This window comes from Homo sapiens, chromosome 3 (assembly GCF_000001405.40).
Source record: "Homo sapiens chromosome 3, GRCh38.p14 Primary Assembly".
Lineage (NCBI taxonomy): Eukaryota > Metazoa > Chordata > Mammalia > Primates > Hominidae > Homo > Homo sapiens.
Window position 1 is genome coordinate 37,148,752 of NC_000003.12, and position 23,625 is coordinate 37,172,376.

General features: G+C 40.0%; 1 protein-coding gene across 55 annotated transcripts in view; it reads right to left on the minus strand.

Moving 5' to 3' along the window:
* Positions 1–23,625, minus strand: part of LRRFIP2 (LRR binding FLII interacting protein 2) — a 123,735-nt gene that overhangs the window by 96,126 nt on the left and 3,984 nt on the right. For 46 of the 55 annotated variants that reach the window (NM_017724.2, NM_001348308.1, NM_001348304.1 and 43 more), the window contains one exon: positions 143–287. In NM_017724.2, the coding sequence (NP_060194.1) occupies positions 143–232 (90 nt within the window). In that variant the 5' untranslated portion in view covers positions 233–287. Of the gene's footprint in view, positions 1–142; positions 288–5,862; positions 5,974–23,625 lie in introns of all 55 variants that reach the window. The other 9 variants (XM_017007476.2, XM_047449205.1, XM_047449207.1 and 6 more) reach the window with 2 other exon arrangements.

Genomic DNA, 23,625 nt, shown 5'->3' on the forward strand with positions numbered 1-23,625 from the left:
TTTTAGAGACTAGCTATAACATCTTGCTCATAATAAACATCTGAAACTAGTTCAATGAGTAAACGTCTATATCTCTGTCAAATCGGCATTTTTACAATACATCTGTGCAACTCAGTGTTGAGAGGGGATTTACCAAACATACCTCTCTGGCAATGTTACTCAAAGCTTCATCTTCTGCAGAAAATCGGTCTTTCACAGGTGTTCTTTTCCTTCCAGAAGCAGGAGTCCCCATCTTGTGTTCTTAATAGTCTTTTAACTTTGAAAGTGATTTAACTGTGTTTTCAGCCCTGAAGTAAACAAAAACATAATAACTTAAGGTATTTCTTTGTGCAATTTTCATGCTCATTTATATATTCACTTTTAACAGAGAAATTAGTCACCAAATACCTCTTCCCACTACCAAATTATTCCAATAAATTTTAGAATATTTAATTTTATACTAATTACTAAAACTCCTACTTCTTTTCACTATGCTACCCACAGCAATCTGTGTGTATTATAATATTAGCCTCAGAAAGCTGCCATCAGCAGAAATTCTACTTAACCATTTAAAATTACTATAGCTGGGCAGCCTGGCCAACATGGTGAAACCCTGTCTCTATCAAAAATACAAAAATTAGCCGAGCAGGGTGGTGCATGTCTGTAATCCCAGCTACTCTAGAGGCTGAGGCAGGAAAATCACTTGAACCTAGGAGGCGGAGGTTGTAGTGAGCCAAGATTGCGCCACAGCACTCCAGCTTGGGAGACGGAGCAAGACTCTGTCTCAAAATAAATAAATAAATAAATAAATAACTATAGTTATTTCTAAAACCAATTTCCATCCCAGAATGAAAAACATTTCAGAAGTTATTCAGCCTAAACTTTTAGAAGAAAATGTTCAAGAGGTTTTACTACTAAGCCTTATAGTTACAAAAGTAACTTTGCTTTTTAGTGTAATTTAAGAAAAATTCCAATTAAACCATGACAACGTCAGGCACGGTGGCTCTCACCTGTAATCCCAGCACTTGGGGAGGCTGAGGTGGGCAGATCACTTGAAGCCAGGAGTTCGAGACCAGCCTGGCCAACATGGTAAAACCCCATCTCCACTAAAAATTCAAAAATTAGCCAGGCATGGTGGCGCATGCCTATAATCCCAGCTACTATGGTGGCTGAGGCACAAGAGTCACCTAAACCCAGGAGATGGAGGTTGCAGTCAGCCAAGATCACGCCACTGGACTCCAGCCTGGGTGACAGAGAGAGACTCCACCTCAAAAAAAAACAAAAACAAACAGACAAAAAAAACCCACAACCATATAAAAGAAAAAATGAAGGTTTATTACTCTGCAATTAACAATAACCAACACTGTCCATGTTGTTACCAGGTACTATAGGAGGTGCTAAAGGTACGGTGATGAAGAAAACTGATATAGTCAAATGATTAAGAATATATCGCCAGGCGCGGTGGCTCACGCCTGTAATCCCAGCACTTTGGAAGGCCAAAGCAGGTGGATCACCTGGGATCAGGAGTTCAAGACCAGCCTGACCAACATGGTGAAACCCCATCTCTACTAAAAATACAAAATTAGCAGGACATGGTGGTGCATGCCTGTAATCCCAGCTACTTGGGAGGCTGGGGCAGGAGAATCGCTTGAACCTGGGAGACAGAGGTTTCAGTGAGCCGAGGTTGCACCACTGCACTCCAGCCTGGGCAACAAGAGAGAAACTCCTTCTCGAAATATAAAAAAAAGAATATATCTATGAACCTGTTACTATTACTTATTAGACCTATTTTAACAAAAGGAAGAAGAAAAACCCATCCACCAGGATTAAATAATAAGGATGAAAAAGACCATCTAACCTTTGGTTAGATGGTATTTGAGATTAAAGATTACCATGAAAGAATGCAACCCAAATTTCATGCCCTCTTTTCTTCTATACACATTGCTAAGAAGTATAGCTCATTTAGCTAAATATTCCATAACTTAAAAAATTTTTGACTTGCTTTAACAAAATAAACCAGCAAAATTTCATTACAGTATGAATCACAAAGAAATTCTCAAGTAAGTCTGTCCTAACACAATTGGCTATACTGAAATTCTAAGTGACTTTAATGTACTGGAATTTAGTTGATTCCGGCTAAATAAAGCAGAACTATTCCACCAAAAAGTTTTCTCCAATAAAGATTCAGGACATTCCCAACTTATCTGACACCATTTCTCATTCATCAGAGCTAGCTTGTTATTCTGTCCACCAGAATAAAGACTGATGATGGTTTATTACTTTTACTTCACTAGAGAAGATATATCTGGATATGATTATTAAGAACTCATTTAAAAATGGAAACACCAGCTGGGCATGGTGGCTCATGCCTGTAATACAACACTTTGGGAGGCCAAGGCGGGCAAATCACAGGAGATCAGGAGTTCAAGACCAGTCTGGCCAACATGGCGAAACCCCATCTCTACTAAAAATACAAAAATTAGCTGGGCGAGGTGGCACATGTCTGTAATCCCAGGTACTCGGGAGGCTGAGGGAGGAGAATCGCTTGAATCCAGGAGGTGGAGATTGCAGTGAACCGAGATCGTGCCACTGCACTCCAACCTGGGCAACAGAGCAAGACTCCATCTCAAAAAAAAAAAAGGGAACATGACAAAAGGTACTTCTTAATGTAGCAGCTGATATATCCCAGATACAAATCAGAACAACTCCTGATAAGGACAGAAAACTTTTCTCAGAGTTCTCTAATCATCTTCAGCATAATTTTAAAGATTATTCACTTACCTAATAGTAACAGTGTATACATTGCTGGTGGAAATGTAAACTAGTACAACCACTATGGAAAACAATATGAAGATTTCTTTTTTTTTTCTTTTTTTTTTTTTGTTGAGATGGAGTCTCGCTCTGTCACTCAGGCTAGAGTGCAGTGGTACAATCTCAGCTCACTGCAACCTCCGCCTCCCGGGTTCAAGCAATTCTCCTGCCTCAGCTTTCCAAGTAGCTGGAACTACAGGCGTATGCCACCATGCCCAGCGAATTTATGTATTTTTAGTAGAAACGGGGTTTCGCCATGTTGGCCAGGCTGGTCTTGAACTCCTGACCTCAGGAGGCGGGTGATCTGCCTGCCTCGGCCTCCCAAAGTGCTGGGATTACAGGCATGAGCCACCAGGCCTGGCCGGAAGATTTCTTAAAGAACTAAAAGTAGAACTACCATTTGATTCAGCAATCCCACTACTAGGTCTCTACCAAGGAAAAGAAGTTATTATATGAAAAAGACACATACACACACACGTTTATAGCAAAACAATTCACAATTGCAAAGATACGGAAAAAACACAAGTGCTCATCAACCAACAAGAAGATAAAGAAAATGTGATATATATACACCATGTAATACTACTCAGCCATAAAAATGAATGAAATAATGTCTCTTGCAGTGACTTGGATGGAGCTGGAGGCCATTACTGTAAGTGAAGTAACATATGATCTCACTTATAATTGGGAGCTAAAATATACAGACACAAAGGCATAAGAATGATATAATAGACTTTGGGGACTTGGTGGTGGGGGCAAGGACGGCTGGGTAAGGAGTAAAATACTACACAGTGGGTACACCATAAACTGCTTGGGTGACAGGTGCACTAAAATCTCAGAAATCACCACTAAAGAACTTACCCACATAACCAAAAACCATCTGTACTCCAAAAACTATTGAAATAATTTTTTTTTTTTGAGACGGAGTCTCGCTCTTTCTTGCCCAGGCTGGACTGCAGTGACATGATCTTGGCTCACTGCAGTCTTTGCCTCCCGGGTTCAAGTGATTCTCCTGTCTCAGCCTCCCGAGTAGCTGGGACTACATGTGTGTGCCACCATACCTGGCTAATTTTGTAATTTTAGTAGAGACGGGGTTTCACCATGTTGGCCAGACTGGTCTCAAACTCCTGACCTCAGGTGATCCGCCCGCCTCAGCCTTCCAAAGTGCTAGGATTACAGGCATGAGCCACATGACCGAAATGAAATTTTTAAAAAAATGGTAGTGGTGCATGCAAATATTAGCCATCTACTAAAAATAAGCAACATGCAATGCAATGTTCCTTTTCAGACTAGATTGACAATTTAGTGAATGCACTATGGTATCATCCAATATTTGTCCATCAGTCAGCTTTCCAAGGACACAATGAAAGATATTTCACAGAAGCAGGAAACAAAAATGTAAGCATTTTCTAATTCCAGACACATAAAAATCATTAGAGAATAAAAATAGATTTGGCTGGAAGTATATCAATAGTTTAACAGTGGTTTTTTTAGGAAGATAGGATTATGGATGCATTTTTTCTTAATTCTCTAAAATTTCAATAGCATTAAGGAAAAAGAGATGCATTTTAAAACCAGGCGTGGTGGCTCACATCTAATAATCCCAGCACTTTGGGAGGCTGAATCAGGAGAACTGCTTGAGCATAGGAGTTTGAGACCAGCCTGGGCAAAACCCTGTCTCTAGAAAAATTTTAAAAAAATTAGCCAGGCATGGTGGCACACGCCTGTAGTTCCAGCTACTTGGGAGGCTGAGGTGCAAGAACTGACTGACCCTGGGAGGTCAACGCTGCAGTGAGCCATGATCACTGCACTCCAGCCTGGGTGACAGAGTGAGACCCTATCTCAAAAAATAAATAAATAAAAATAAAAACATTCCAATCTAAGGCTCAAAAAATAAACTAGTCCCCAACTGGATCACATCAAAATTAAACATAATATGCCATACTACTGAGACACTAATCTGAAACCACTTCTGGTAGCATTCTTTTGAATGTACTTCTTTCTTTTCTTTCTCCTCTACCCCCATGATCCATTTTCTTTCCTTCTCAACTAACAATGCCTATGCCTTAGACCTGCCAGAGTATTCCTGGACCACAGATTTATGTAAAAAATTATTCTTTCTTAAAATTGCTTCCAAACAAAATGGTTTCAACAAGCTCCAGAATAGACAGCCCTGAGAAAGAGATGACAGGAAAAAGCAGCACAGGATAAGCAGGAAATAGGAAGAACTTCCTGTCTATCTTCCTTATTCTTCTTGTCATATCTACAGAGAACACCTAGGTTTTTATATGACTGATTGGCCAGGTCCAGTTACCTTTTTCAGTTCACATGATGCAGATCAAGGACTACCTAGTTCAAAGGATAACCTAGTACTTTTAAAAGAACTGTATTATTTGGACCCTGTAGGCAGATTTCCTTACCAATATTAGAAAAATGACCAGACTAGGCAACATGGTGAAATTCTGTCTTTACAAAAAAAAAAAATTATCCAGACATGTTGACGAACACCTGTAGTCCCAGCTACTTGGGAGGCTGAGGTGGGAGGACTATGTGAGCCAAGGGAGGTCAAGGTTACGGTGAGCCGTGATAATACCACTGCACTCCAGCCTGGGTGACAGAGGGAGACCCTGTCTCAAAAAAGAAAAAAAAGAAGGAAAGATGAAAGGTTTTTCCGTTCTCATGCAATCTATTTTCTAGTAACTCCAGGTCATTCTGTATCAGTGATGGAGGAAACCTTGAAAGGAATACGATTCTTAACATAGCCAGTGGGAAACTTTTCAACAAAATGACAAAACTGAGAATGTAGACTCAAAGGAAACCTTAAATAATTTTGTTTCTGATCCTAAAGGACTTGCAGTAAATTTCTACCCTAAGGTTTCCTCAAGAACCCTTTTCTTCAGGAGCACATTAACTCCTTCCAGTGTTTCCTTGGTGGTATCAAACAACTTAAAGAACTAAACCTTTTCCTCAATTGGTAAGAACAAAACTGCCTGTATTTTTGTCAAGTCCTTTACCCACATAGTGTCAAGTTGATTTTCCCCAGATGGTTTTGTCATGACATATTTTACTTACAGAAAAGAAGGAAAGTATCTTCAGGATCTTGCAGAATATAAACCTTCCAAAACAGACAGATATTTCAATAAGGCTTTGTCTTCTCCAATGAGCTTCTCATATAATATACGTCTGAAACAATAGGCATTTTGCCACAGTAAAAGTGGCACTTCAATCATGATATTGTCCACTTTTGTAAGAACAGAATGTGCATGTAGCATCAGTATGTCACATTCTAAATACAGGACACTTAGAAAGTTCTGTGCCTAATCTGGATCCTGATAGATAGTTCTTTTATATCTAAGTATTGCATCATGGAGAATTCAAAATATTGTCCTAGTATGTCTTTGCATCACAGCTGCCATTACAGTGAACGCTAGTCTGCACAAGAAAACATTTCATAGTTATTCATAAACAAATCCCAGTATATGGAATTGTCCCTGAACTAAAGACTTAGTGTGACTGCAGTTGTTGCCACTTGACAAAACTTAAAATGAGAAGATCCAAGTTCAACTGATTGCACTACCACTTCCTGTGTTACCCTCCCCACTTTCTAAGCCTCCATCTCTTTATCAGTTTCACTGATATAACATGGTTAATGTGAAGCTCAAATGAATTAAGAAAAATCCAAGCACTTAATAAACTATAAAGCACTCCATAAATATTTAAAGCATTTTGAATTAACTACCTATTTTGCATATTTAGCTTGTGAAATTGACAAAAAAAAAGCAATCCTTTTCATACTTTTAACTAAACAAAAATATCCTCGATTTCCTCCAGCATGCACTGTCTAATAGCATTAAACCATGCTAAGAGTTTCTGCTATAGTATAGAACAATTTGGAAAAAATAAATGCCTTGACTATAATCATTTTGCTGTCTAGCACATGTATACAATAAAAACAAAAAAGGAGAAATTTTTAAGGTACTTTGTATTCAAAGTTTACTTCTAAAACTGCCAAGTTTTGGGAGTGCAGCCTTACAATGGTTATGCTAGTCCTCTTAGTAGAACACAAGTGACTTGAAACAGAAGATAGAGATCATTAAATGTTCTATTTAAAATATTTGCATATTGTTCTATGTAAATTTTACCTCAAAAGAAAAAAGTCCTCTACACAAATATTAAACTCTAGCCAATCATGTGCATGCTAAAATATTTAGGGTTGAAGTGTACTGAGATCTGCTACTTTAAACTGCAACAACAAAAGATAAAATGATGAAATCCAGATGGTAGGTACATGAGTGTTCACAGCACAACTCTTTCAATTTTTCTGTATGTTTAAAAAAAGTTTTTTTTTGGAGACAGGGTCTCCCACTCTGTCTCCCAGGCTGGAGTGCAATAGTGCGACCTTGGCTCACTGCAACCTCGGCCTCCCAGGCTCAGGCGATTCTCCTGCCTCAGCCTCCCAAGTACCTGGTACAACAGGCGTACACCACTGCATTTGGCGAATTTTTGTATTTTTGGTAGACACAGGGCTACACCATGTTAGCCAGGCTCATCTTGAACCCCTGGGCTCGAGCAATCCACCTGCCTCAGCTTCCCAAAGTGCTAGGATTACAGACGAAAGCCACCATGCTCGGGCTATGCTTAAAATTTTTTATCATCAGCCAAGCATGGTGGCTCACACCTGTAATCCCAGCACTCTGCGAGGCCGAGGCAGGCAAGTTGCTTGAGCCCAGGAGTTTGAGACCAGCCTAGAAAGCAAAGTGAAACTCTATCTTTAAAAAAAATTTTTTTTTTAATTTTTTATAATAAAATGTTGGGGAAAGAGTAACTGCTTAAGAAATGTGGATGACTAGGGCCAGGCACGGTGGCTCATGCCTGTAATCCCAGCACTTTGGGAGGCTGAGGCTGGCAGATCATGAGGTCAGGAGATCGAGACCATCCTGGCTAACACAGTGAAACCCCCGTCTCTACTAAAAATACAAAAAATTAGCCGGGCGTGGTGGCAGGCGCCTGTAGTCCCAGCTACTCGGGAGGCTGAGGCAGGAGAATGGCGTGAACCTGGGAGGCGGAGCTTGCAGTGAACCTAGATTGCGCCACTGCACTCCAGCCTGGGCGACAGAGCGAGACTCAGTATCAAAAAAAAAAAAAAAAAAAAAAAAAAAAAAGAAGTGTGGATGACTAGGTGAAAAAAAGGCATGGGAATTAGGAATTGCAATTAAAAATCTAGAGTGGAAAAGAAAAGGAAGGCAGAGGTAATCATAGCACTGAAGAATACCTAGTAGTTACATACACATTAAAAATAAAGATTATGCGGGGTGTGGTGGCTCATGTCTGTAATCCCAGCACTCTGGGAGGCCAAGGCAGGCGCATCACCTGAGGTTGGGAGTTCAAGACCAGCCTGACCAACATGGAGAAACCCTATCTCTACTAAAAATACAAAATTAGCTGGGCGTGGTGGCACATGCCTGTAATCCCAGCTACTTGGGAGGCTGAGGCAGGAGAATTCCTGGAACCTGGAAGGCAGAGGTTGCAGTGAGCCAAGATTGCACCATTGGACTCCAGCCTGGGCAACAAGAGTGCAACCCCGTCTCAAAACAAACAAACAAACAAAATAAAGATTATGGCAGGTCACTGTGGCTCATGCCTGTAATCCCAGTACTTTGGGAGGCTGAGGCAGGCGGATCACTTGAGCCCAAGGGTTCAAGACCAGCCTGGGCAACATGGAGAAACCCTGTCTCTACAAAAAACACAAAAATTAACCAGGCATGGTGGCACACACCTATAGTCCCAACTACTTGGAAGGCTGAGGTGGAAGGATTGCTTGAACCCAGGAGGTAGAGGATGCAGTATGCCTTGATCACACCACTGCACTCCAGCCTGGATGACAGAGTGAGACCTTGTCTCAAAAAAGTAAGATAAAATAAAGATTATGGGCAGGCAGAAAATGGCTCCAACCAGAAGAGGAAAACAAGGAAAGTAAAGGGAGAGGAAGACAATTAAGAAGGAGAGGGAGGAGAGAGAGGGGAAAAGAGGAAGGAGGGAGGGATTACAGTTAAAGACATCAATCCTGCAAATATCTAAATGAGATCGTTACATAAAATGAATAAATCATTAGCAAAACCTACAGAAAGAATATAGAAGGTACATTCAGAAATTGAGGCAAAGTACAAAATGAAAAAAATATATACAGGCAAAACTGGAGAACTTGGCAAAACAAGGAAAGGCAAATGCTAAACACAAACTAAATGTCAGAAGAACATTAGAAACTATAATGGTTAACTTACAACTCATACTTTATAAAGAGAAATGCTTACAAAGGAAGAGAACCTATATAATTATTTCTCCTACTTTTATAGTCATTTGTCCTAAGAATTATCAAAAATATTTTTAAAGTATCATATTTTGACTACCCACTATCCTCATGTCTCCAACACAACTGATAATCTTTCCATTTCCTCCCTTCATATAACATGCCAGTGGTTGCATTTCTTTACTTGGTAGTTATGTTATTCTATAAATGAACATTAATGGGCTATATGTTGGACATAAATCTTTATACTATTTCATCAACTGTGCAGAACCCAAATTAGGAAGATAGACTAAACAATTCACTTATCCGTATTTTCTGAGAAGCAAACCACTTTCTAGTACCATTCAAATAGCCTCCTTTCTTGATACCTTTTAAAGTATCTCAGAGATGTATGGACATACAATCAGAGTATAAAAGAAAGGGAGACCAACAATTACATATTGCTGAGAGTAGGAAAGACTTAAAAGTGTGAAACAGGCCAGGCACGGTGGCTCATGCCTGTAATCCCAGCACTTTGGGAGGTCAAGGCAGGTGGATCGCTTGAGGTCAGGAGTTTGAGACCAGCTTGGCCAACATGGTGGAACCCCATCTCTACTAAAAATACAAAAAATAGCCAGGCATGGTGGCACATGCCTGTAATCCCAGTTACTTGGGAGGCTGAGGCAGGAGAATTGCTTGATCCTGGGAGGCAGAGGTTGCAGTGAGCCAAGGTCGCATCACTGCACTCCAGCCTGGGTAACAGAGCAAGACTCCTCTCAAAAAAAAAAAAAAGTATGAAATAAAGCAGAAAACAGGAAAAGACTAGAAGTATTAGAAAGAACAATATAAGCCTAGGTAGCAAAGAACCAAAGAATCAAGATGAAACAAAAAGTAAGGGAAATGGGAACACATGTAACAAGGATATAATTTTTCAATATTAAAAAAATGCAATTAATATGAAGGAGGCTCTAAAGCTAGAAATTTTCATAAAGTAAAACCTATCACATACCTTTAATTTTTCCCTTTTCAACAAATATTTACTGAGAATTTGCAAGGCACTATTTATATAGCACTGTCACTGCCTTCTCAGTAGGCAAAAGAGAATACTGGGAAAATAAAAGTAAAGAGACCAGAGAGAAGGTACTCTGAAGCACAAAAGTTTTTATTTTGAAGAAGTCCAATTTATCCATTTTTTTCTTTTGTTGCTTCTTTTGATGTCATATCCAAGAAACCTACCTCAAGGCCATGAAGATTTATTTTTACATTTTCTTCTAAGAGTTTCAGTTTTACCTCTTATATTTAGGTCCATGATCCATTTTCAGTTCATTTTCATATATGGTATAAGACAGGGATCCAACTTCACACTTTTGCACATGGATATCTATTTGTCCCAGCATCATTTGTTGAAAAGACCATTGTTTCTCCCACTGAATTACCTTGCCACCCTTGTCAAAAATCAACTGACCATAAAAGTAAGGGTTTACTTTCTGGATACTTAATTCTATTTCATTGAGCTAAATGTCTATCCTATGCCAGTATCACACCATCTTGATTCACATAGCTTTGCAGTAAATTTTTTAATTGGAAAAAGTGAGTCCTCCAAATTTTTTGTTCTTTAACACTGTTTGGCTATTCTGGGCCCTTTACATTCCCATATAAATTTTAGAATGAGTTTGTTACTTTCTCTTTTTTGTTTTTTTTGACAGAGTCTCGCTGCTGGCCAGGTTGGAGTGCAGTGGTGCGATCTCAGCTCAGTGTAACCTCCTTCTCCCTGACTCAAGCAATTCTCCTACCTCAGCCTCCTGAATACCTGGGATTACAGGCATGTGCCACCACGCCTGGCTAATTTTTGTATTTTTAATAGAGATGGGGTTTCACCACGTTGGCCAGGCTGTTCTCAAACTCCTGACATCAGGTGATCCACCTGCCTCCACCTCCCAAAGTGCTGGGATTACAGGCGTGAGCCACTGCACCCAGCCTGAGTTTCTCAATTTCTGGAAGAAAAAAAAAAAAAAGGAAAGAAAAAGAAGGGGAGGAAAAAAAGGCAGCTGGGGTTTTGACACAAAAATTAGCCAGGTATAGTGGCTCACACCTGTAGTCCCAGCTACTTGCAGGGCTGAGGCAGGAGGATTGCTTGAGCCCAATGAGTAAGCCCTATGCGCAAAAAAAAAAAAAAAAAAAAAAAAAAAAAAATTCACTTAAAAGTCTTTAATTAAGTAGTTAGACCTCCAGGTCCCCTTTCCATTGCTAGGCTATTACCTCAGCTTCAACTTCATCTCCTATTCTCCAGGATACCAGAAGTTCTAGAAGACAAAGGGGCTCTGGGGAAGGGAAGGGTAAGCAATGGGAACAGGGAGGGAGTAGGAAGTGTGGGCTTAGGTGAAAGTATGCATTTTGAAATGTGGGACTGCTTCAGCCCCCTTTAAATCACCCATCCTGCTACCAAAATATATACCCCTTTTCGAGGGAGGTCAAAATTGACCAACCCCACCTACTTTCAAACCAAGAAGTCTGTGAAAACCCACTAACTCAGAAGAATAACTTAGTGAAAATAAACTACGCAGGGAGAAGAAAACTTCAAAAATAACCATCATTAATATCTTCAGAAAATTAAGGCAAATTATAGCCATGAAACAAGAACAAGGGGCTATTAAAATATTCAGAGAACAGGGTCGGGCGCAGTGTCTCACACCTGTAATCCCAACACTTTGGGAGGCTGACGCAGGCGGATCACCTGAGGTCAGGAGTTCAAGACCAGCCTGACCAACATGGTGAAACCCTATCTCTACTAAAAATACAAAATTAGCTGGGCGTGGTGGTACATGCCTGTAATCCCAGCTACTCAGGAGGCTGAGGCAGTAGAATCACTTTAACCCAGGAGGCAGAGGTTACAGTGAGCCGAGATCACGCCATTGCACTCAAGCCTGGGCAACAGGAGTGAAACTCTGTCTCAAAAAAAAAAAGAAAAAAAAATTCAGAGAATACAAGATCTTGGAAATTAAAACATGACAGTAGAAATTAAAAACACAACAGAAATAATCAATTCCACTCTATACTCAAGAGAATTGAAAACTTATGCCCACACAAAAACTTGTAACGGAATATTCACAGTAGCACTACTCCTAACAGCCAAAAGTGAAAACAATTCCAATGTCCATCAGCTGATGAATGGATAAGCAAATGCGGCATATCCATAAAATGGAATATTACCTAGCCATAAAAACAAATATATTGGGCCTGACATGATGGCTCACGCCTGTAATCCCAGCACTTTGGAAGGCCAAAGCAGGTGGATCACTTGAGGTCAAGAATTGGAGACCAGCCTGGTCAACATGGTGAAACCCCATCTACTAAAAAAAAAAAAAAAAAAAAGCAAAGATTAGCCAGGCACGGTGGGACACATCTGTAATCCCAGTTACTTGGAGGCTGAGGCATGAGAATCACTTGAACCCAGGAGGCAGAGGTTACAGTGAGCCAAGATCGCATCACTGCACTCCGTCCAGCCTGGGCAAAAAGCAAGACTGTTTCAAGAAAGAAAGAAAAAAAAAGGAATAAAGTATTGACTCGTGCTACATACAACAAGGTTGAATCATGAAAACATGAGAAGTGATAAAAGCCAGACACAAAGATTACATATTGAATAACTTCATTTATGTAAAATGTCCAGAATAGGTAAATCCATAGGGACAGAAAGTATAACAGACTAGTGCTTTCCACAAAGTCTCGGGTAAAGAGGAAATGGAGAGTGACTGCTATGGTATGAAGTTTCCTTGTAGGGGTAATGAAAACCTTCTGGAATTAGGGCTGATGGCTGCACAACTTTGTGACTACACTAAAAAACCACTGAAAAGGTCACTACTTTAAAGGGGTAAATTTTATGACACACGAGTAGTACCTCAATAAAAAAATTAGTTTTACAAAACTCAGGTTGGGAAATAAAGTTCAAGAAGTCTTACAGAAAACAGAAAAAAAAAAAAAAGAGAGAGAGGTAGAAAATAAGAAAGAAAAATATATAAGGTTAAAGTATCAGTCCATAGGGACTAACGTTCAAATAACTGGAGAAAGAGAAAACAGGCTGGGTGCGGTGGTTCATGTCTGTAATCCCAACATTTTGGGAGACCAAGGCAGGTGGATCCCTTGAGCTCAGGAGTTCGAGCCTGGACAACATGGCAAAACCTCCTCTCATCTCTATCAAAAACTACAAATATTAGCTAGGCGTGGTGGGGACTGAGGCAGGAGCATCGCTTGAGCCCAGGAGGTCGAGGTTGTAGTGAGTCATGTTGATGCTACTGTACTCCAGCCTGGGTGACAAAGTGAGACCCTGTCTCAAAAAAAAAAAAAAAAAAAAAAGAAGAGAGAGAGAGAGAAAACAAAAATAAATTATTAATAAAATAACTTCCCAGAAGTTAAGAACATGAGGTGCCAGACTAAAAGGGCCCAGAGTGTTCAACACAAGTCCTGAGTTCACACCAAGGTATATCTTAGTGAATTTTAAACAATGAGAACAAAGATGACTTTACAAGCTTCCACAGGGTAGGAAAGTCAGGCCACACATAAAAGATTAAGAATGGCTTCAAGACTTTCAAAAGTAATTCTGGAAACAAGAAGATGATAAGAGTGATGCCTTCAAACTCTTGAAGGAAAATTATAGACAATCTATAAGTAGCCTATACCAGTCAAATCCCTCTTTTTCATACTTGATTATTAAAGGCATTTTCAGACATGAAAGGTCTCAAAAATTTACCTCTTTTACACTCTTTGTCAATAAGCTACTAGAAGATAGGCTTCAGCAAGTAAAACTGAAAAACCAACAGAGAGGGAAACTTAGCATACAGGAAATAAATCAAACACAGAAGAGGGGCAAAAGGGAACCTCCAGAAGAATGATAGGTGTATCTCAGAAAGAAAGCTACAGATTGGAGCAATATGACTCAAGAGACATAATGAAGGACTGTCATTACCAAAATCCCCACAGCCTTTGGGGCACATCCATTTAACATGAGATGTGCCTGGTCCAGGTTTTCATTGGAATTTAGTTTGTCTTGACCCCGTGTTGATAAAGTTCCTGGAGCCTAGATGGGCTGAAGACTTATTTCACAGCACAGACATGTTTTGCTTTTCCTTATTCTTGAGAGCTAAAGCGTGATAAGCTTAGCTTAGAAGCAAAACCACATAGAGCAATCTACTCTCCCAATCACATTTCTTCTAGATATTTACCGTAGTATCTTGTAAACACTTTAGTTTTGCCAGATTCCCTGACTGTGGGGAGCCTGTGTTTCTCCAGACTCAATAACAAACTTTCCCAATGACTTATCCAAAAAAGATCAAGGAAGACTCTTTTCAGCTTATCTTCTGAGAGCTTTCATCTAATAGCAGCAGTATGTACCTTTCCTTTCACAGCCTCAGTTGATGCTTGCTATTCAGTTTTCCAAAACAAAATGATATATTTCTTAGGGATACATACCATGGCAGAGATTGGCTCATTGTTGACCAAGGCGTTTTCCCTTTCCTTCCTTGCAGTTAAGTGTAGCCATTTGACTCAGTTCTAGCCAGTGGAATGCGGACAAAACTGATGTATACCACATCCTGGCCTGGCCCATCAAACTTTCCATGCAATCTACCACAGTCCCTCTCTTTGTCCTCGCATCTGCCAGCCAGATGCAGGAAATTCAAAGTCTCTGAGGCCCCAGTGGGTGGCAGAATCACTAGCTGAAAGCAGCCTGAGTCCCTCAATGACTCTGTGGAACAGACCACCACTCTGTCACTGCTTTTCAACTCACAGCAAAGATGTGAGTGAGAAATAAATTTTGTGTTAAAAACCACTGATTTGGTAATTATTCATTAAAGTAGTTCAGCCTATCCTGACTAACAGACTTAGAGAGGTAGTAGAGCTTTTTGGTTTTTCAAAATTAAAAATTTTGGCCAAAAATACATGTATGGACATGGAGGATATTGCAGGCTTGAGCAGAGAATGGTCCCAAGAGAATGACTAATATGTTAAAATAGGCTTGTGATTTCCTGGAAGGGAGGGGGTGCCATTAAAGGATATCTTGAGGAAACTTCTAGGATAAATGTAACATGTAATTTCTTGACCTAGGTAGTGAGACCACAGGTGTTCATGTATTCTTCTTCCTAAAACTGTATTTTTGTTTTATATTTCTCTATAGTTCACAACTAATTTTATGCAAAATAAATTCGTTTTATAGCTTATAAATTGATGTTATAAGCTAGAATGGATGGATGGATAGATACATAGATAGATGAAGACTCTTGAAAAATCTGTTGGCGCATTTAGGGGGAAAGCAACAGGTAAACAGAAAATTATGTAAATGTAAAAGGCAAATTTTAACTCCCTGAAAAAACAAAGTTAAACAAGAAAGGAAACAAGTATGATATACCACATGGCTGATCAGTAAACAATATTTATTTCATTATAATGAAAACACCAACTATTGATTTAAAATTTCAAAATTGGAATGTTGCAGGGAGGGAAAGTGGGATGAAATAGTGAAGAAATACAAAATAACAATAAAACCACCAGTAAGTCCCACCATCCGAAGATACTCCTATTTTAATAACATTATTTTTTAAACAAAAATTGGTTAATATGGCAGGGCATGGCGGCTCATGCCTGTAATTCCAGCACTTTGGAAGGCTGAAGTGGGCAGATCACCTGAGGTCAGGAGTTCGAGATCAGCCTGACCAACATGGTGAAACCCATCTCTACTAAAAATACAAAAATTAGCCAGGCATGCATGGTGGCAGGCGCCTGTAATCTCAGCCACATGGGAGGCAGAGGCGGGAAAATTGCTTGAATGTGGGAGGCAGAGGTTGCAGTGAGCCAAGATCATGCCACTGCACTCCAGCCTGGATGACAGAAAAAGACTCCGTCTCAAAAAAAAAAAAAAAAGTTCCTAAAACATGCTATTTTGTAATCAGTTATGGTAGACAAATTCTAAGGTGGTTCCCCACCCTAATCGCCCTTCCTACTGTTCACACCTTTGTGTAATTACTTCCCCCATGAATGTAGGTGGGTCCTGTGACTTACTTCTAACCAACAGAATATGGCAAAGGTTATACAGGATGCTACTCCCATAACTATGTTACATTATATAAGACTGTCTTCCAGCCTGGTGCGGTGGCTGACGCCTGTAATCCCAGCACTTTGGGAGGCCGAGGCTGGCAGATCACGAGGTCGGGAGATCGAGACCATCCTGGCTAACATGGTGAAACCCCATCTCTACTAAAAATACAAAAAATTAGCCAGGCGTGGTGGTGAGCGCCTATAGTTCCAGCTACTTGGGAGGCTGAGGCAGGAGAATGGCGTGAACCTGGGAGGCGGAGCTTCCAGTGAGCCGAGACTGCACCACTGCACTCCAGCCTGGGTGACAGAGCGAGACTCTGTCTCAAAAAAAAAAACAAAAAAACAAAAAAAAATGAACTGTGCATGTGAGGGATCTAGGTTGTGCGTTCCTTATGAGAATCTAATGCCTGATGATCATCTGAGATGAAATGGTTTCATCCCGAAACCAACCCCCCCACCCACCCCACCCCCGTCCATGGAAAAATTGCTTTCCACAAAACTGAATCCTGGTGCCAAAAAGGTTGGGGACCACTGCCTTATACCATATAGAAAAGTTAACTCAGGGGTCAGGCATGGTGGCTAACGCCTATAATCCCAGCACTTTGGGAGGCCAAGGCAGGCGGATCACCTGAGGTCAAGAGTTCAAGACCAGCCTGACCAGTGAAACCCTGTCTCTACTAAAAATACAAAAATTAGCTGGGCGTGGTGGCAGGTGCCTGTAATCCCATCTACTCGGGAGGCTGAGGCCAGAGAATTGCTCGAACCCAGGAGGTGGTGGAGGTTGCAGTGAGCCCGAGATTACACCATTGCACTCTAGCCCGGGCAACAAGAGAGAAACTCTGTCACAAAAAAAAGAAAAGAAAAGAAAAGAAAAGAGAAAGAAAGAGAAAGAAAGAAAGAAAGAAAGAAAGAAAGAAAGAAAGAAAGAAAGAAAGAAAGAAAGAAAGAGAAAGAAAGAAAGAAGAAAAAACTCAAAATGGATCAAAGACCTAAACAAATGAGCTAAAACCATAAAACTCGTAGGAGAAAATATATGGGAAAAACTTCATGATATTGAATTTGGCAATGATTTCTTGGACATAATACCAAAAGCAGAAGCAACAAAAGAAAAGGTAAGTTGGATTTCATCAAAATTAAAAACTCTGGGCAGGGCGCGGTGGCTCACATCTGGAATCCCAGCACTTTGGAAGGCAGGCAGATCACGAGGTCAGGAGTTCAAGGCCAGCCTGGCCAACATGGTGAAAACCCGTCTCTACTAAAAATACAAAAATTAGCCAGGCATGGTGGCGCATGCCTGTAATCCCAGCTATTCAGGAGACTGAGGCAGGAGAATAGCTTGAACCCAGGAGGCGGAGGTTGCAGTGAGCCGAGATTGGGCCACTGCACTCCAGCCTGGGCAGAGCAAGACTCCATCTTAAAATAACATAACATAAAATAAAATAAAATAAAATAAAAACAAAACTGTGTACATCAAAGCACACTATCAAAAAGTAAAAAGGCAAACCACGGAATAAAAAAAAATTTGCAAATCACATAGCTGATAAAGGATTGATATAAAGAACTCCTACAACTAAGCAACAACAAAAACCCAATTAAAAAGATAAAAGACATAAGTAGACATTTCTTCAAAGAAGATACAAAAATGGTCACATGAAAAGATGCTCAGCCGGGCATGATGGCTCAACATACGTAATCCCAGCACTTTGGGAGGCTGAGGCAGGAGTATTGCTCGAGCCCAGGAGTTGGAGACCAGCCTGGACGTTGCTTGAACCCAGAGTTGGAGACCAGCCTGGGCAACATGTCTCTACAAAATATAAAAAAAAAGAGGCAAGGCACAGTGGCTCATGCCTGTAATCCCAGCACTTTGGGAGGCTGAGGTGGGCGGATCACCTGAGGTTGGGAGTTCGAGACCAGCCTGGTCAACATGGAGAAACCCCATCTCTACTGTAAATACAAAATTAGCTGGACATGGTGGCGCATGCCTGTAATCCCAGCTACTTGGGAGGCTGAGGCAGAATCGCTTCAACCTGGGAGGCAGAGGTTGCAGTGAGCAGAGATAGCGCCATTGCACTCCAGCCTGGGCAACAAGGGCGAAACTCTGTCTCAAAAAAAAAAGAAACAGAAGGAGAAAAGAAAATCAGCTGAACATGGTGGTACATGCCTGTGGTCCCAGCTACTGGAGAGGCTGAGGTGGGAGGATCATTTTAGCCCAGGAGGTCGAGGCTGCAGTGAGGCATGATTGTGACACTACACTCCAGCCTGGGTGCCAAAGCAAAATCTTGTCTCCAAAAAAAAAAAAAAAAGAAAGAAAGAAAGAAAAGAAGAGAAAAAGAAAAGATGCACAATGTCACCCATCACCAGGGAAATACAAATCAAAACCACAGTGAAATACCACCCTATTAGAGATTTTATTTTAAAAATAATCGATTTTTTTGTGTTAGAAAACAGGGCCAGGCACAAGCAGGCCGGGTGCAGTGGCTCACGCCTGTAATCCCAGCACTTTGGGAGGCCGAGGCGGGCAGATCACAAAGTCAGGAGTTCGAGACCAGCCTGGCCAATAGGGCGAAACCCCGTCTCTACTGAAAATACGAAAATTAGCCGGGCGTGGTGGCGGGTGCCCATAGTCCCAGCTACTTGGGAGGCTAAGGCAGGAGAATCGCTTAAACCCAGGAGGGAGAGGTTGCAGTGAGCCGAGATCGCGCCACTGCACTCTAGCCTAGGCAACAGAGCAACACTCTGTCTCAAAAAAAAAAAAAAGAAAGAAAGAAAAAAGAAAAAAAAAAGAAAACGGGACCAGGAACAATGGCTCACACCTGTAATCCCAGCACTTTGGGAGGCCAAGGCTGGCGGAGCTCAGGAGTTTGAGACCCTCCTGGGCTAATGGAGAGACCTCATCTCTACAAAATATACAAAAATTAGCCAGGCATGGCAGTGCACACCTGTACTCCCAGCTACTCGAGAGACTGAGGTGGGAAGGAACACTTAAGCCCGGGAGGTCAAGGCTACAGTGAGCTGTGGTCGGGCCATTGCATTCCAGTCTTGGTGACAGAGTGAGACCCTGGCTCAACATAAATAAAAATCAATCAATAAGAAAACAGAAAATAGTAAATGTTGGCAAGGATGTGGAGAAACTGGAACCCTTGTGCATTGCTGGTGGTAATGTAAAATGGTATAGCCACTGTGGAAAATAGTATGGTGGTTTCTCAAAATATTAAGCATAGAATTACCAAATGAAATTTGGTAATTATCAAATTACTAGCAATTCCACTTCTGGGTACATACACAAAAGAATTGAATGTGGCACTCAAACAGACATTTGCATACTCATATTCATGGTGGCACTATTCCCAAAAGCAGAAAGATGGAAACAACCCATCTATCAAAAGATGATTAAACAATATGGTATAAACATACGAAGGAATATTTTTCAGCCTTAAAACAAATGAAATTCTGATACATGCTATGACATGGATGAATCTTGAAGACATCATGCTAAGAGAAATGAGCCAGACACAAAGACAAATATTACATAATTCCATTTATACGAGGTACCTGGAGTACACAAATTCATAGAGTCAAAAAGTAGAACAATGGTTACCAAGGGCTATGGGCATGAGGTGATATTGTTTAATGGGCAGAGCTTGTTTAGGATGATGAAAAAGTTAGGGAGATGGATAGAGGTGATAGTTACACAATAATGTAAATGTACTTTATACCACCGAATTGTACACTTAAAAATGGTTTAAATGATAAATTTTAAGTTATGTACACAGTCATGTGCTGCATAAGGATGTTCCAGTCAACAATGGATTACACATATTACAGTGGTCCCATAAGATTATAATGGAGCTGTCCTATACACGTGTGCCCTTTTAAGAGATGGGGCCTCACTATGTTGCCCAGGCTGGAACGCAGTGCCTATTCATAGATGTGCTCATAGCACACTACAGCCTAGAACTCCTGATCTCAAGTGATCCTCCTACCTCAGCCTGAGTACCTGGAATTACAGGTGCACACCACCATGCCTGGCCTATTTTCTAATCTTTTATATCATATTTTAACTGTATCTTTTCTATGTTTAGATACACGAAAATTTACCACTGTGTTATAATTGTCTACAGTTATAGTATTCAGTACAGTGACATGCTGCACAAGTTTATGGCCCAGGAACCACAGACTATACCATATAGTCTAGGTGTGTAGTAGGCTATACTGTCCAGGTTAGTGTAAGTATACTCTATGATGTTTGCTTGACAAAATTACCTAATGATGCATTTCCCAGAACATATTCCTGTCATTAAGCAACAAATGACTGTATTTTACCATAATAAAAATATTTTTAAAAAAGGTCAACAGAGTAAATTTTATGTTATCTATATTGTACCACAATTTTAAAAACAAAACAAACTTTATTTGATTGCAAAGGATGAATCTGGCAAGACAAGAACAATGCCCTCTCATTTCCTTGACTGTTCACCTAGATACAGCATTATCTGTGACAAGGGAAAAAACATCTAATCTAAAGCTGAATTTTTTTCTACATTTAGTCCTATAATCCTTAGGTCACTTAACTGGGATACTCACTTTTTAAAAAAAGCAATGCTATATATTCAGTTTGTTCATGATTTAAGCCATTTAACAGGGAAATAAATATTTTAACATCCTAATCCTCTGCATACAGTACGGTATACTCTAACTTACAAAACAGAAAGCCAAAAGATTTCTTCTAGCTGTTAATATATTTCTACTTAGGAAAGTGGGCATGTAAGGAACAACATGCTCAGAACAGTAACATAAAAATTAAATTTGCTTCCCTAAAGCAGTAAAGATATCTGTTATATCAAAAGTAGTTAAAATGTGGTAATGAAGGAACACTAAGATATACAGGGTTCAAAATGAAAACAATGGAAAAAGATAATCCATGATTCTTTAATGAAGGTGTTTATATTCCACCTCTGAGAAAGCACCCTGGTATGTATTCCAAGGCTTTTCCCAGCTCTTTACCACTTTCTTTCACTGCTGCTTTTTATTTCTTTTCTTTTTCTTTTTTTTCCCGAGGAGGAAAGGAAGGCAGAGACAGAGAAGGGAAAATAAGATAATGGGAATAAACTGATAAGGAAGAAAGAAAAACTAGTTTATTTTTTCTCCTCACACTGAATCCTAAATACATTATCATCATCATCATTCTCATCATCATAAATGTGAACAGCTGCAAATAACTGAAGGCAAAGGAAAACTAAATTTCCTCCAGTCACAACCTAATCTAAAGCAAAAAAGTGGGGGTGGGGAGGTCCATCTGCAGGCTTGCATCTGTAAATTAAGTTTGTATGCTGAATTCTTCAAACAATCTTGACCGTAATACAAAGCTGCTGTTAAATATGGTGACATGAACCTTGGTCTAAGGGTGGAACACTAAGTTCTTTCAACAGCTTTCTAGCCTAAGAAGTGACATCAGTTAAAGAACTTTAAACCCAAGTGTTTCATTCACTAAGTATAAACAAATCAAGGTTTTCATAAGACACCACATAGTACAAACTAAGAGTTTAAAGATATAACTTCATGATACTATATAGTACCACAGGAAAAGCAGAATGAGAATTTGGGAAGAAGCTAATTTATCTATCTGAACTTAAAATAATCCTGTAGCATAGTCCATTATTCCAAGAGTCCTTTTGATCTTAACGACAAATACGAAGGTCTCTGAATTGGACTGCTATTTTAACTGGGGCCCTCCCTATGCCAGTAACAATAATGCTTTTTCCCTAATGTAAAACATTTGACCGATTCTTGGCAAACACTCTCATATAACCAGAAGATAACATCAATGCTGGCACAATCCTATGCTCTTTCTTGTGCACCTTTTTCTAAAAACTTTCCTCCTGGACGGGCGCAGTGGCTCATGCTTGTAATCCCAGCAATTTGGGAGGCCAAGGTGGGTGAACGATGTGAGCCCAGGAGTTAGAGACCAGCGTGGGCAACATGCGGACACCCCGTTTCTACAAAAAATACAAAAATTGGCCCTGTGTGATGATGTATGCATGTAGTCTCAGCTACTTGGGAGGCTGAGGTGGGAGAATCACCCGAGCCCAGGAAGTCGAGGCTGCAGTGATCTGTGTTCATACCACTGGACTCCAGCGTGGGCATCAGAGTGAGACCCTGTCTCAAAACAAACACACAAACAAACAAAACCTTTATTCCTTAGCTTTCCTTAATAAGAGGAAGAAGCAGGGGAGGAGGAGGTAGCACTAAAAACTTGGATCCTCGGATATACGGGCTAAGTAGTTGTTCACCCCAAAACCTAGCCTTAATCTTCTGAAGGCAAAATGTCCTTTATAACTCCCCCTTCTGTGCTTGCCACTGATCCTAAACCGCAGGCCTTCCTGACTTGCAAGAGGACCAGGCCAGATTATGGTTATGTGGTAGGTTCTGTCAGGCAAGCTTTGACAAGGTCTCAAAATAGACCCTGGGCACAAGCCAGGGAAGCTGCCACTCATGAGTTCCGACTTCATCAAACTATAGCCCTTCAGTATGTAATTTTTTTTTTTTCTCTCTAGTGTCTCTCTCATTTCAAAAAGGCAAAGAATCCTGAACCTCCTCCTGGCCACAAGTAACCTATATAACATCAAACCTAAGCCTCCTTTATTCTGTTTACAAAAACTTTGCAGAATAAAGATTGAATCTGTACCTCCTTCCTGCCTTGAGAAAGTAATCCATCAAATAGCACTCTAGTTTGCAAAAGGATTTTTGGATCTCAAACTCCATAGAGGTTTATTTTATTATGTATAGATTAGGATGTGGAAGGTAAAGGAAAAAAGGAGGTAGATTATTTACTTCTTTCCTGACTAATAATATAGTAGCCGACTTATGCAGGGCAAGAATTTAAACTATACACAATGCTTTTAATTGATACTGGTCATAAAATTCTGAAACAATCAACCTACTTAAGATGTAGCCATTTAACTATTATCAAATATAAATGCTTCTATATGACAGTACCAGTCTTCAAACCACAATATTTCTACTTTTACCAATACAAATAAAATTAATCACCTGACACTCAAATGTTTTTAAGTACCTTATAAAATAATTTGCAATATTTTTTAAATGGAGAGATGGATAAAGAATACAAAGTAATTAAGAGCTCCTTTCCCCTTCCACAAGCCCAAGAAATAAGTTAAATTCTATTATAAATAAAGCCAACATGGGATTGAAATAGTTTTAACTTTTCATAACTTCAGTCTCAATCTTACAGTCACACTTTGAAAATACATTCTGTATAGATACTAACTAATGCAAAGACTTATATATGTATTGTTCATTACAGCAGTGTTTGTAGAAGGCTAAAAACAACCTAAATATCTGTCAATAGAAAATGGTAAAATAAATTACGGAAAATGAATAAATTATGGTTCATCTACACTAGCAAGGCATGCGGTCTTTTTTAAAAAAGTAAGAAATATGTGCTA